This window comes from Homo sapiens, chromosome 1 (assembly GCF_000001405.40).
Source record: "Homo sapiens chromosome 1, GRCh38.p14 Primary Assembly".
Classification (NCBI taxonomy): Eukaryota; Metazoa; Chordata; class Mammalia; order Primates; family Hominidae; genus Homo; species Homo sapiens.
The window spans coordinates 162,282,514-162,297,971 of record NC_000001.11 but is presented as its reverse complement, the minus strand read 5'-3'; the positions used below and the strand labels follow the sequence as shown (position 1 = coordinate 162,297,971).

At 44.3% G+C, this 15,458-nt stretch overlaps 1 protein-coding gene across 2 annotated transcripts in view; it reads right to left on the bottom strand.

Annotated features, from left to right (window-relative positions):
* Positions 1-15,458, bottom strand: part of NOS1AP (nitric oxide synthase 1 adaptor protein) — a 300,785-nt gene that overhangs the window by 72,504 nt on the left and 212,823 nt on the right. For both annotated transcript variants that reach the window (NM_014697.3, NM_001164757.2), the window contains exon 3: positions 10,536-10,628. In NM_014697.3, coding sequence (NP_055512.1) covers positions 10,536-10,628 — 93 coding nt within the window. The remainder of the gene's footprint in view (positions 1-10,535; positions 10,629-15,458) is intronic.

Sequence of the window (15,458 nt, the reverse complement as noted above, 5' to 3'; positions counted from 1 at the left end):
TGAGTTGCCAGCTTCTTCAGCTCTGCATCTGGGATATATGAGGTGAAAAGAAACCCAGGGAATTCACAACTATGTAATTTGTGAGTCCCTAAGTTCCTAGCCAGGCTGCCCTCTCTCCACCTCTCAAAATCTTCTGATGTTGATTTTATATAAAATGTCTAGGGTTTTCAGCTGTACTTAGCAGGAGGAATAGGGTAAAGTGCATCTACTTGGTCTTCCCAGAAGCAAAAGTCTGGTTCCTATATCTATCATGTTTTTTTTTCTTTTTAAACTACAGTTGCCTCGGCTCCACCTCTTGAGAGACATGAATACAGTGGGTCAGAGGTGACGCCCCATAATCTGTAGCTTTAACAAACATTTCAAGTGGTTCTGATGTGACCCTGGGCCTGAGAGCCACTGCTATACACCAAAGAAAGACTGGACTGAAATCCTCAACCGGAAGCTCTCTTTCACACACCACACACTCCTCTGGAGTCTCAGGCCTGGCACAGGGAGGTCCCCTGACATTTCAAAGAAAGCCAACTGACCACGGTCCCGTTAACCACTGTCTCAGGCCAGGGCCCACCTCAGCATACTCAGGAAGTGGCTGCGGTGGCATAAACACTTGGTGGGGCATCAGCAGACCTGCTTTGCTCCTGAGAGAATGCATCTTCACTTCTCTCATGCTCTTACCATCAGGACAGTCTGCTCCCAACAGTCCTTGCAGCTCTGGTGTGATTTGCAAAGTGACTGAGAGGAGCCAATGACCCAATACATCAAAGAGGCTGTGAAACCCCAACCAGCCACATGTCCTGTTCCCTTCTGAGGAAAGCAGCCCCAAAGAGGGTCTGAACGAGGGTGATTTGGTTTATGCTGCATGCATCTGAGGAAGCCAACTGTGCTAATCTGCCCATGACTGTCTGGGGTTGGGATCCCCACCTGACTGACCATGGGGAGCCAGCAAGGGGCTGTCATTAAATCACCCAATCATTGAGCTCTATGGTAAAAAGACCCAACTCTACCCAATCAATTCCTCTCTTTGGGGAATATCAAATCCTAAGTGGAGTCTAGGCTGAGCCCCAGTAACAGTGGACAGTTTTTGTGACCTGTGACTCTATTTCCACTCATACTGGTGGCAACACTGAGGGAGAGGATGCATCGGGCGCCAGTTCATGTTTCTTCCAAGGCTTGCGATGCGCCTCCATCATCAAAGCTAAGCTGGGCAAGACTCTTCTCAGCAATTCTATAGAATGTAACTAAGACATTCATTAAAAGGAAAGAATAATGAGGCAAAATAATACAGAACTATTTTCTTTCTCTGGCAGATGTGAATAGGAGGACAGAGAAACCAGGCTCCCAGGGCCCCTTGGGTTAATTTAATAAGAATGAGCATTAGCAGGATCTACAGAAGCCAAAACATACTTTACTTTTAAAAGAGGTCCCAGCACCCATATAGAATGTCCTGAAAAGGGAGAAAACCACAAAGATCTTTTCACCAACTTACTAATTTTCCTTTTCTGAAGAGCTCATTAAAATCTAGTCCTGTCACTTTACAGACCTTCATCCTTGGATGAAAATTATTAAATCTATGAAGAGATCAGGAAATCATCAAGATAACTCAATGGGTTTGGGGAGTAACAGGGACTCACCAATGTTTTGGTTATTCAAGAAGCTAATGCAAATACTGTTGGAGCTTTTTTTGTTTTTGAGACAGAGTCTCGCTCTGTCACCAGGCTGGAGTGCAGTGGCGCGATCTCGGCTCACTGCAAGCTCCACCTATTGGGTTCAAGCGATTCTCCTGCCTCAGTCTCCTGAGTAGTTGGGACTACAGGCACTCACCACCATGCCCAGCTAATTTTTGTATTTTTAGTAGAGATGGGGTTTCACCATGTTGGCCAGGTTGGTCTTGAATTCCTAATCTCAGGTGATCCGCCTGCCTCGGCCTCCCAAAGTGCTGGGATTACAGGTGTGAGCCACCACACCCGGCCACTGTTGGAGCTTTTTAACCCAATCTCCTCACAGCCTGAATGATAGTCCAAGAACTTTAGAACTAAAGGGTCTCCACCCCTCCCCCACCGCACCTCTTTCAAATAATACCCTGAGGAGTGTAGTCACTCAAGCAAGGTGTCACTCCTTGTTAGCCGCCCAGCCAAGAGTAAAAACAAATTCTCCTGATGTTTGGACTAGTGCTGACTCCACTACTCTGGCACAATTCGTAGGCAATGCAATACAATGAATGGCTTAACTTAGAGGGAGGCCCCGCTTCACATATCTCACATGACTTTATGATTGTCACCAATGTCTTAATTCAAGAACAATTTGATTCTTCCTGTCTCCTGGTCTGAAATTGTGTCTCTTATTGCCTATGTTTTGCAAGTATTTCAAAGAAAAAAACAAAACAACACAAACAAACCAGCTCCTCCTCACTTTTCTATATGGAAATACTCTTCTAAGGAAAAACAATCAGAAAAAAAAAATTTGAAATGAGCAGAAAAATAGAAAGAAAAACAAATTTCCCAAACCTATGGGATTATAAATCAAAGTTGGCTTCAAAAATAGATAGGACAGAATGTATTACTGAACAATAACTACAGCCAAACTCAGTTTAACTGTCTTTGAAGTCTTTTATTTTTCCTTTAAAAAAAAGAAATCCTTGAAAATAAAGACTTGGAGTCTTGGTAGCTGTGTGAGGGAAATTTCAGTCTTGCTACTCACTGTTCAGGATCAGCTGTGGTCTCCATGATATGCCAGGAAATGAGGACATTTTCAGTTCAGATGGGATTGGAAGGAAACAGGAGGAGAAAGAGAGGAGAAAAGGAGGGGACACACACCTCTAAAGCTGTCAGCACCTCTCTGAGTGCCTTCTGGGGTAAGGGGGCCCTTCACAGGCTTATTTACTAAAAACAGCCCAGGGAACCCACAGGACTGGGCACCAGCAGGGCTGGTCTTCAACCTCCTTCCACTATGAGTCCAGGCTCAGGCAGGGCTCCCGCTGGAGCAGGAGCACTAGCAGCAGCAGCAGCAGTGGTGAGGCCAATACGCTAAATGCTCAAGGAGACAAGGATCTGCCTCTTCACTCACTCCAGAAACAAAGCAAATGGAGAAAAAATTGTGAGTGGGGAGGGAGTGCCTGGTGGAGCAGATTAATTAGTCCTAGGGGCAACTGTCTAGCATTCTGCCATGCCCAAATTCTATATGTGGATATGTGTAACTCCTTTCTCTTACTCCTGTGCCCTCCGCGTCTGCTAAGGACACCTATGGCACTGCTGAGCCTTTTAGGAGGTCTCTAAACTAGAGTTTATTAACCTGTCTCTCTCTCTGTGCCATCTCCTCCCTTCCCCTCTTCTCTTTGTTTATGAATTCCTTACTCTAGGGTATTTTTAAAAGTCAGCGAGATAGAGGGAGTAGGTTAACTTGAAGGAAGGCTCAACTTCATATCTCGATTAGTAAACATTTTCTGGAGTGAGAAAGAAAGGTGTGATCATAGAGTGTACACCACAGACCTCCAGTCACAGGGAGGTGCACCCAAGGGACCCAGCTGCTGCACTCTGAAATTCATCATCGTGTTGGTTCAGGAGTTATGCTTTCCACAGACTGCTCCAGCCAGTGACTGAGAATGGAGGGATACTAAGGCAGGCCCGTCCCTGGGAGATGTGGGGATCCCGACAGACAACTTTGGCTTCTGGACACCCTGAAACCTTGCCAAGCCTTCCTCAGACTGCACTGCAGTCTAAGAGCCTTTTGCTATCCTTCCTTCCTTTCTTTCTTCCTTCCTTCCTTCCTTCCTTCCTTCCTTACTTCCTTCCTTCCTTCCTTCCTACCTGCCTTCCTTCCTTCTTCCCCTCTCTCTTGCACTCAGGGGCAGGCCTCTCTGCAGCCTGACAGTCCTCCCAGCCTTTCTCAGATGCTTCCCCCTTTTCTCCCACAGGCGTTTAACACTGTCTTGGCATCTGCTTCTCACAGGACCTAGACTAACACAGAAAGTGAGAAGGTGAGAAAGCAAAGATATAGGAAAGTCATCTGTATCTGCTTCATTTTTCATTCTCATAGTTGATGTGGGGAAAAAAGTCATTTCCTCCATTTAGGGAAAGAACTACATAATGCTTTTAGATTACTAAAATTGGTCTCCACCTTAAAGGTGAACACTAAGGCTCAGAGAAGTTGGCTTATTTCCCTCCAAGGCCACCTAGTCCAGTGATAAATAAAATCCAACTCTTCTACCTGCAGTCCCATGGTCTGTAACTCCAAATGATGAAATCAGTCTTTCACTGTCCACTGCCAGGAAGTTCTTTGCTTTCCACAGAGGAAGGGAATAAAGGGCTTGCTCTGTATGCTTTTGTAAGACCACTGAATGGGGTAAGCGCATCTTTGATATAGGACCTTCTCTTTCCTTAATCTGTTGAGTGCAAATGTCAAGTCCTCCATGGAAATTCACAGCCACTTTATCATTCTAAAAGCTCCTGGCAAGGAATGTTATATGGGAACTGGTTTAGAGGTAGGTCTTCCTGGAACCGTGCCAAAAAGAGAAAACAGAGTCAGGAATAATTATCACAGTGGTCCTTTCTCCTTTTGATATGTGGAAATGGATATGGCATCTTTGAAACCCTTCCTCAGGAATGCTAAAGTAGAGGAGAAATTTGTACTGACATTCATTTCCTATCCCTACTAGAATTATCAGTAGGCGTATCACAAAGCCTGCAAGCTTCACCATTATTCATGCAGCATTATTCAAGCACCTAATAGCAGCGGTGACTCAAAAAAAAATTGCAAAGGCCACATAAACTCAGTTTGACAAGTTCTCCATGCTTCTAGATAGAATGGGATACTACTGAAAATAAAGCTATCTCTCTCCTTCAGGTATAACCTATGGATATAGGAACGTGCATTTCAAAATTGAAGCAGTAATAAATCCTCCCATGTGCACAATTCCTAATAGGCCTGTTTTTAAAGTAGCAGAAAATAAAGAAGGCCAAGAAACACAGCACGGTGGAAAGAAGACTGGATGAAGTTTAGGGCCTAGATTCACACCCTGGCTGCCAGTAACTACCTGGGGGTCCTAGGGACAGTCACTGGACTTCTCTTATCCTGTTGCCACATCTAATCAATTAGAGGATCAGGCCAAATCACTTTTTAAGTCTCCTAAATTCTGGTTCTATAATTCTGAGTGCCTCCTTTTCTTAATTCGATCTGACTTCTGTGTTTCCATAGTAACCAGCACTACTGTTTGGGCAGGAACATAGTTTCCCTGTGATGTAATACACCCATGACAGAGTACAGGTTAGGAGTTAAAGACTCTGGCTTAATTAATTAGGCATTTCCTATGGAGTGATTATTATCCAAAGGGGTCCAAAAAGATCAGTCACACACACAGCAACAGAGCAGTGGAAAGAACCTGCTTGGGATTTAAGTAAGACAAGGTTCGAACCTTGACTTCACCACTGATAGGATGTGAGATTCAGGCAAGTTGCTCAATCTGCTTTTGAACAATCATAAGAATGGTATCTACCTAATAGGACAGTTGTGAGGATTTGTTAAGTGTAAACATGCATCAAACAAGGCCTGGGCAATAGCAGGTACTCCACATCAGTGTTAGCTATTACTATTAGCTGTTCTCATTATCACCTTAGTGTGTAACTACTTACATCAGTTTGCTCCCTCTGGTCTTCTACTTTTCCAAACAGATGAAATAAGATTTGAGGGAAGACATGGTCCCTGCCCCCTAAAGCTAACAAACTATGGGGGAAAGAGATAAATAACTACAATGCAATCTTATAAAACCTGTAATAGACCTATGTGTGCATACAGTGACAAAGAATAATTTTGCAGGGAAGGGTTCATATCTAATATCCTTATGTAACCTATGCAGATCCTTGAACATGGTAGACACACAATGAATATTTGTTAATGAAAATGATGGAGCCTTTTTAGAATGCTGCCTTAGGGGATCCCAAGAAAGTTATTGGTTCATAAGAGAAACTATATAAAACTGAAGCTCTTTGGGTCCTTTATTAGAAAAATCCCTTGGATGAAGTTCAAGACTAGTCTTTCTTACTCAGGATTCCACTCCCTAGCAAATGGTGCTATAGCGTGATTCCAGTATTATAATAACTAATCATTACATATACATGGAAAAGATAATTACTTGAGCCTAGATGCGAGTTGAAGAAAATGTACTGGTTGAGAGACATCAAAGTACAGCTAATTATCTTAGTAACTGGGTTTACATCACAAATTCAACCTAAGATTCATAAAGAATTTGAGATTCATTATCTGTTGGCGTCAGTTCAAGATGACAGCATTTTTAGATATTTGTTATTATAACCAAAAAGATGTTTTTTACAACTCAATGAAAGTTGAATATATTTGGCCACTGCCTACACTAGTATAATGCACCTGAAGATTACAGTCACCTGAACAAATCCTACAATTAATACTATGGAATTAGCAATTTTTATGGAAGCCTTCCTATATTTGAGAAAGGATCTCATCCTTTTTTTTTTTCCTTTTAAACTGGCAGATTGACAGGAAGAAAAAGAGGGAGGACAACATGATAAAGGTAACAAACTAGACTTCATTTGATCCAATTGCTAAGTATTTATTTTCTCATAATTTAATGACATTATTACACACAAATAATGTTCAATCAAGCAGCTAGTGAACAGCCACGATTACTGAAAACATACTACATGTGTCTGGTGCCCAGGCAAGTGCTGGGCTTACAAAGATGGCTCCTGCCCTTAAAAAGTTCACTGGAGGGCAGAGACTTACTGTAAACACAGTTCTCAGCCAGGAAACACATCACCATTCACCAGTTACAGACAGGCTGGGAGAGAGAGGAGGCTGGGATGGCTGCCTCAGAGATGTTGGACCTCAGAGGGTCCCCTCCTGCTCTAGAAGATTGGGAAACAACAACATAGTGACCCACTCAGACTCCAGGGGCTGTCTTTTGTGGGTTTTTTTTTTTTTTGATAGTCCAGTAGATTCTCAAAGACCTAAATACATACAGGTGACCTATATATACACACAAACACCAAAAAGCATGGTTCCAGAGCTGGCACAGAGTATCCGAGCTAGAAAAGTTAAAGTGATCACCTAATTGAACTCTTCACAGTTGAAGCTGAGAGAGGCAAAATAACATGCTTAGAACCACAGGCCAAGAAGGGTAGAGCCAGGACTGAAACCCAGGTCTTCTCATCTGGGGTGAGGGTCCCTCCCAGCTTGTCACACTAACCTAGTGAAAATCAACAAGCTAATTGTGGGAGGAGAGGGCTATTCAATGTTTTTACCCACTAGCCTGGCACAAGCACCAACGAATCAGTGGGCAATGTCAGGCTGTACATGGAACCATTGCCTCACGGCTGAATATAGGCTATGGCTCTCTCTACACCTACAGCTACTTGGCAAAGAGCTCTAGTTCTTAACCTAATCATGATGGTGATCAGTGACATTTGCCAAGTATTCCATTTCCTTGGAGAAAATTGTGCATTTACACAATAGCATGTCTACTCTCACCTCTCTCAATTCTATAAGCAGAGAGAGAAAGTGTGCATGTGTCTGAGTGTGGTGGTAGCATTAAGATACCAGAGAACTGTCATATGAGAACAAGATGACAAAAAGGCTGATTGCTGTTAATGTGCATTCATCTGTCAGAGATTGTGTAAAATGAACCCCGTGGTTAAAGGCATTATTCAAATCACAGCCACGGCCCTGGAACGGACACTAAGTGTGGGTGCAGGAAACAAGATGGGCAGCTCCCTTTTCCCAAGCCTGGCATCAGAAGAGTTAGATCTAGGAAAGACCTGCTAGACCATCTTTTTTTCTGGGCCAGCAGGACGATGAAGCCACACTGGAGATTACCCAGGACGTAGTTTCAAAGTGAGTCACGAGGTCCCATGCACTCCCTCAGGGAGATGCTACTCCAGCCTGGCTTTCATGTGCTTAGTGGAGGCAGGGAGGCTTCTCTCCAGGTGATACCTCAGCACACACTGTGTCATGAGATCCAACCTCAGTTTTCTCACATGCACAATGGGGAAGCCACCACACGTGGTAAAGGTACATGGGAGAGACAGTGAGGTGAGAAACAAGACTGTGCTCTAAGGGCAAAACTATGAAGTTGCCCCATGATGGACAACAACAGAGGTGTATGAAGATACCTGAAAGGGACAGAGCAGCCCCTAGGACAGTAGGTGTTTACATTTAACCTAATCGAAAGTCAACAGGCTGGGTTCAGTGGCTCATGCCTGTAATCCTAGCACTTTGGGAGGCTGAGGTGGGTGGATAAGCTGAGGTCAGGAGTTCGAGACCACCTGGCCACCATGGCGAAACCCTGTCTCTACTAAAAATATAAAAAATTAGCCGGGCGTAGTGGCGGGCGCCTGTAGTCCCAGCTACTTGGGAGGCTGAGGCAGGAGAATGGCGTGAACCCGGGAGGCGGAGCTTGCAGTGAGCCGAGATCCCGCCACTGCACTCCAGCCTGGGCGACAGAGCGAGACTCCGTCTCAAAAAAAAAAAAAAAAAAAAAAAGAAAAGTAGCTGGGCGTGGTGGCAGGCGCCAGTAATCACAGCTACTCGGGAGGCTGAGGCAGGAGAATCAGTTGAACTCAGGGGGTGGAGGTTGCAGTGAGCCAAGATTGCATCACTTCACTCCAGCCTGGGCAAAAGAATGAAACTCCATCAAGAAGAAAGAAAGAAAGAAGGAAGAAGGAAGGAAGGAAAGGAAGGAAGGAAGGAAGGAAGGAAGGAAGGAAGGAAGGAAGGAAGGAAGGAAGGAAGGAAGGAAGGAAAGGAAGGAAGGAAGGAAAGAAAGGCAAACAAAGATATGTCAGTCAGAAGTGGATGTGTAGTGGGGTGGTGGGAAGATTCTGGGAGTGTCAGCCACAGATTGCTGAGGAAAGCAATCTTACACATGTGACAAAATTAGCCCATTTTTTTCCTCTGAGGATATCTTTTGCTCAAATTCATATTGTCATCATCCACGATTTCTTTAACAGGCCCAGGGCTTGACAGGCCTCAGCTTGATGTCCTGCTCAGGAACTCCAAGAGGACAATACTCTAAAGACTGTCCCGTGACTGTCCACTCTGTACATACATGTGAGAGGAGAAGAAGCAAAACAGATGTCCCCAAAGGAAGAACAAGATGGGGCCCATGCACACAGCAAAGGTTTACAAAGCCAAAGATATTTAATTCCCTATACTTGTGAATTTTGAAGAAGGTGGTTCTTTATAAACAGTATATCTTTTTTCTACATACTTGCAGCATCATAGCCATAAAACACTTTCTAAAACCACCAATGAAAGTATTGAGGGAGCATGAAAGAACAAGTTTTGGATTAATACGTAAGAGACCTTTGTAAACATCCAGAGAGGAAAGGGGCTGCCTCAGGAAGTAGTAAATTTCCCATTGCTACAGGTGTCCAATCATACACTGGACAATGCCCCTTGTACGGACATTATAAACAAGATTTAAGCCCTTGGATTGATATGACAAGTCCCCTTTAAGATCTCTCTCAGCTATATGGTTCTTCAAATTTATGTTGCCTACTATGATTCATTTGTCTTTGCTTCCATAACCTCCACACTCTCTCCCTCTAGCCCCGACATTCAAGGTCTGCTTTAAGTCCCAGTTGAATTAAGAGTGACTGAGATTTGGAACCAAAATAAGCTCAGGAGGTCTATGGAGGACTATGATATGGTGCTACCATCAATAAATGTAAAACAAAGGCATCATAAATAAAAAATAAAAACATCAGCAGAATTGAGAAACAGGGACAAAAAGGGCTCCTTATATATACTCAATCAGCCAAGCTCTTTTCTGTTTCTTTTTGAAAACACACATCCTCCCATCCTCCCACCATACGAATCTAGCCTTTCCAAGGGGTTAATGTTACCTGCCACAACCACATACAACTGGCACAAAACAGACAAGTGTTTAAACAACATATGCTCACTTGCTTGTCTCTCCCCAACTCACGCTGAATGGATCAATCCCCCTGCCCATCCTCCCGACCTGGCCACACCCCACCATCCCTGCACACGGAGCAGCAGCAGTGGCTGGGTCTTGAGGGACGATGTAAATATAGGCTGCAACAGGAGGATGCAAGGACATACAACGGAGGGGGCTGCATGGCACCTGGGGTGGGACTGAAGGATGGTCCTGCAATCGAAGGGGACAGCTGCTGAGGAAGCCTCCTCTCGCTGCCCAATCCCACTGAACCCTGCTATTCTTACTAAAATTGAAAATATTTTCTACCATCAGGACTCAAAACTCAAAGATAAAGGTATGAAAATGGGGAGGGGGGTTGAAGGCATGGATGACAGGAGGTGACTCCCATCACCTGGGGTACCAGGACTGACTGAGCCAACTGGTGACTAGGCCTTTGGCCTCGCCTCGCCCTACACTCTGCTGCAGCCTGTCAGCACCATTGCTGCTCAAAGCAGAAGAGCTTGCCAGATAAGGGAGGGATTCTCTCTGGAGGTGGGCCCAGAAGAAGAAGGTACCCCATGCCTACCTCCCCTGCTTTCCTCTTCACCTCAGATTCTGGTTCAGAGCCACTTACCTTTTTCTTCTTCTTCAGAATCACTTTCACTCCATCCACTGAAACCATAATGCTCACTTTCTTCTTCTTGATGTTCTTGGCTTTAAACTCATACTGCAAGAAAGAAGAAAACAAAAAGAAAGTGCAATCTGATGAGATCAGTGCATCTATACAGACCCAGCTAGCCCATGCCTGGAAAAAAGGTCCCCAGACAGGTGTGGGGAATAGCTCCTGGGGGCAGGGAGCACCTCGGGGGATGTAAAAGCAGGTGGATGTCTCAGGCAATCTCTGGGTTAGAAACGGGACTCTGAATAGTCTATACCACTTCTCAGCCATCAGCTAGCTACCCTCATGAGATGAAAACATAGCCTATTTGGAATATCCCATAAAAAATCAGAACCTTCCCTCAATAACTCATTCTATCATTTAATGACTTCCACGGTCAGGCAAGTATTCCTAGTGTCTCATCAAAGGCTACAGAAACTACATTCCATCCTCAGCAAAGACTAACAGCTGGAACCAATCTTCACATCAGGGTTTTTTACACACTGAAAGATAATTATGAATTCTCAATTACTCTCTAAAAGTTCAATTTCAAATTTCCTTTATCTGTGAGTCAGTCTACAAGTCTACCCACAGCCCTGCTAGCCTGAAGATTTTGGCACATCTAGAAAAGATATGGCCTCAAAAACCATGTATTTGTTAAGTTTTATTTAATTATATTTTTAATTGACAAATAATTGTACATATTCATGGGGTATATAGTGACAACCCCTGTGTTTTGAACTCTTATTTGTAGTTCTAGACAGGGATGCTCCAACCACAGACCCATACTGCTGATGGATGTTGGCGTCATCCTCAATCTCAGCTCTTTCTGGTACATTTGTTCATTCATAGCCATCTCTTAACACTTGTGTAGCTATTCATAACTGGTGGTATAATTCTACATTTTCCTCAGTGAACTTCATTTTGAGCACTTCTCCAGTTTATTAAAACCATTTTCATCTGATTCCCATCTTACTATCACCGCCTAGCAAACTTCACTTGCAAGCTCTCCAATCAAACATCTGGGCTACAGATTAAAAATTAAGATACACAAGACCCAAAGCCCACCCACATCCCTTCTCCGGGACCTTTTATACTCAAGACCTTCTCCTACCATGTTGCCACTCAAGCCTGGAAAAAGGCACCTAACACCTTGACAGTGCATCTGAAACCTAATTATTTCTACAGTTAGCATTGATAGGCATGAACTTAATCCATCCTAATGAGATAAAAACATAGCCTACTTTGGAAATCTCATTAGAAATCCAGAACCTTCTCTTCACTGTGCCTTTTAATATTCTGATGTTACAAACTCAACTCAGAGCTTCCTACTGTCCTGAGTCTATCCTTTTCACTAAAATCTCAGATCTTCTATTCCACTGTACAGAGTTATTGTTGATACTTCTTGGCTATCTGTTTCCACAAGAAACATTCTTGTCTCTACAAGAATAGGACCTCACTAACTGAGGTAAGAGATCCTTCTTCACGTTGTCATTGCAGGCTCTGGTCACAGCTGATTTGAGTGTCCTGGTGACAGCAACCTACATCATTGATGACCACAACCTACATCACTCCCAGTCTGGTGGTCACTTCCCCACCTCCACTCTACCCTGTCAGCAGCTCTTCTTTTACCAAGGGGCCCTGGAAGAAGAGCAAACCAGAGCAGCAAACACACGGAGACAGGAGGAAACTCCACTTCAGCCCAGGAACCCCAGGCCAACTAACAGTAAAGAGTAAAGGGGAAACGGGAGGCAGAGAGGGAGATGGAGACAGAGAAGAAGAGGCGCATCTGACAGGATTTTTTTTTTGCACTGGAGTCTGGCTTAGGTAGGACAGGACCTCAGCCATATAACAAATTCCTCTCTAGGTCAGCAGCCACAAACCAGCGAAGGTTAAAGTTGGTTTGATTGGCATGCACTTGAGGACATGGCTCCAGTTTGCATTGTGTCACCCTGACTGCAGCATTCTGCTCAGCTGCAGTGCTGGATGAACTCAAATAACCTCTGGGTGGGAGAACCGGCATTACAATCTGCAAGTCGGCTGACTTTGGCCTTGTGCCTACTGAGAGGTGAACCAGCTACATTTCCTGACCACACCTGCATTTACCTCCAGTCACTTGGGCTTTAATAAACACAACCTTCCAGCTGCACCTCCCTTCTGAACGAGTCACTAAAATCAGGCTGCTCCTGCCGGCCAAAGGAGTACAGAAGAGTGTGTCTGATGCACTCAGGTGGAAGTTAAAGGCTGAAGAGTCCCAGAAACACCCAGAAGAGGGCAAAACCTACCCTAGACAGGTTGGACCTCAACTCTTTTATTGTTCTTTGGTCTCTTACAGTATATCACTTTCATATGCCCCATATACTTCTCTTTTCTAACAATAAAATCAAAGCAGAAATATCAAGTACCTACCTCTGCAAAACACTACATCATTCTCCCCAGTCCTGGTTTTAGAGAACATATTGCCTGCTATGCCATAACCTTAAATGTCTTATATTTCTGGAAGAATGTTGTAGTTGACCATATCTCTCTTTCTTGCTTTGTCCACCTCCCTGTTGGTTTCACTCTCTCTGTGGCCTTTATTAATCATGATTTCTTACCCGAGCATAGCAAGAGGCACCCAGCCAGCTCCTTGCTTGTGTATCTGAAACCTTATCTATTTCTACAGTTAGTATTTTGGCAGGCTTGGCCATGCCTTTTAATACCTTCGTCTTAAGAACTCAAAAGTGCAACTGAACTTTCTCTTTAGAACTGGAAACAGGTCTCTAATTCAATCACCATGCACATAGTTCCCAATGGCTCTTACAGGGTCTGTGGGCACAGTCACTGCATGAAAAAGCATGACCAAATGATTTCTCCCAAAACCTCAATGATGGTGACAACACAGGTGCTCCTTACAATAGCTGGTGGAATGCTCTGGAGTCCTTCAAAATGAAGATGGACAAGAGAGGCAGGAAATAGGCCTCCAGGTTCCATCACGGCTGCCAGAACTGCCTGAGTGCTATTTATAAGGACTCTTGGGTTGGACACACTCTGCATCTTCCCCACCTGCCTGCTGGTCAGATGTCCCATACCCTTTCCAATAGAAAAATTAAAATTAACTTGCAATTATGTTGGAAACTAGGAAAATAAAAGGAAATCAAGTATCTGAAAATGCTTGAATATTTATTATCATTAAGCCATTTGTTTATATGGCAATTATGCTTTGCTTGGACAACATGTTATTGTGTTCACTGAGGGGTGAGAAAATGAATTTGGACAGAGGAGAGATAATGGAGTAACCACAAGAATGGAGAAGAGAAGGGGCTCTCAGGGACAAATCCTCCTTTTTCCCAAACTGACGGTGCTGCTCCAAGGTGGAGCACTGCCTGGGCAGGTGAGCTCTGGAGGAAGCATCTGTGTTCCACAGGACAGGAATCCAATCTGCTCAGGCTTTGCCAGGGGCTGAAGAACAAACAAGACTGCTGGTGCCACCGTCTGTGGCTCAGACCAGCCTCCCACAAAGCCCATGCCAGCCCTGCAGTCTGTGCCAACGGGCCTGGCCCTCCCTGAATATGGCCAGGCTGATCTGATGCATTTGCTTTGCCAGCCAGAGCCCCACCAGCCTGGACAGATGAAGCCCTACAGGACTTGACCTTTCAGGGAACAAAACAATGCAAGTCCTGGAACACCACCTGCAGACTGGAAAGGCCAGGGGAAAGTGTCTGGGGTTTCACAAATAGAGCCTTGGGACCTTGTTTTGGAATAGTGGCCTTGGAACTTAATGTGCCGTGCCAGTCAGTGAGGTCCAGGAAGGGGAAGCTGGGAAAAGCATCCAACAGGAGCCAGGAGTGAACACTCAATGGAAGACATGAGTAAGAACATCGATGAGAAGTTGGAAAGCTGCTGACAGATCAGCAGCCTCATTTCTAATCATCTCCTGACACCCCAGTGCTTCCTTTTTCCCAACTTCCCAAACTGCCTCCTAACCCTATATATCTCTGTCCTGGTCACTGAGTATCCAAGAAGGGGAAGCCAGAAGTCTGCAACAGCAGAGTGGGCATCTCATGAAGGGACCAGCCAGCCCTAAACCTGAGGCTATACTTCAGAAACAGAAGGAATAGAATTACTTCCTCAGAGTCCAGGGGAAGGGCTGGGGCCATCAGATGCTCCTCACACATTTAGCAGTCTGTTTTCACAAAAATGTGTAGCTCCCTAAAGAATCCCTGGATGTTTGAAAATACCTGATTTTTAACATATATTATATATATATGTTAAAAATATATATGTATATTAACATATCCATGGATTTTTAACACACACACACACACAGAGAGAGAGAGAGGGAGAGCGAGCAAGCAATAAAGAGAGAGAGAGAAAACAGGATCCTTGGTTCTTCAGTCACCTTGGCCAGAAATAATTTGGCTGGTGATACACTCTCTCACCTGCTTCATAGGAAGCAGGTCTCCCTCATTCTTAACCATAAAATTCATTTTGCCAAGTCCTTCTCACTGTCTCTGCAATGCTTACAGATGTCAGCCAAGACCTGCTTATGAGTCAAGGTGCTCAAAGGCAACTTCACCAAGGGGAGAGGATTCAGTTTGCAAAGGCAAACACTATGCCAGGCTCTGTAAGTCCTTGACTGTGTTCACTACCTATCTAGAAGGAGCTTTGGAGCTTCGCTTCTTGCAAATGATCACAGGAAATTTAAAAGTGGACTCTGACAGTGCTGCTGGGCATTCCAATCATATTCTGTCTATAGTCTCGGTTTCAGGAGTGTGAGCAGATCTCCAAAACAAAACCATAAGCACCTCTACCAAAGGTACTGTCTCACAAAGGGTTTTCAGAAAGTCCTTTTGCATGTATTATGTGATGTGACAGTCTAAAAATTTAGACAGTAAGATACAAAATCTGAGTATACCC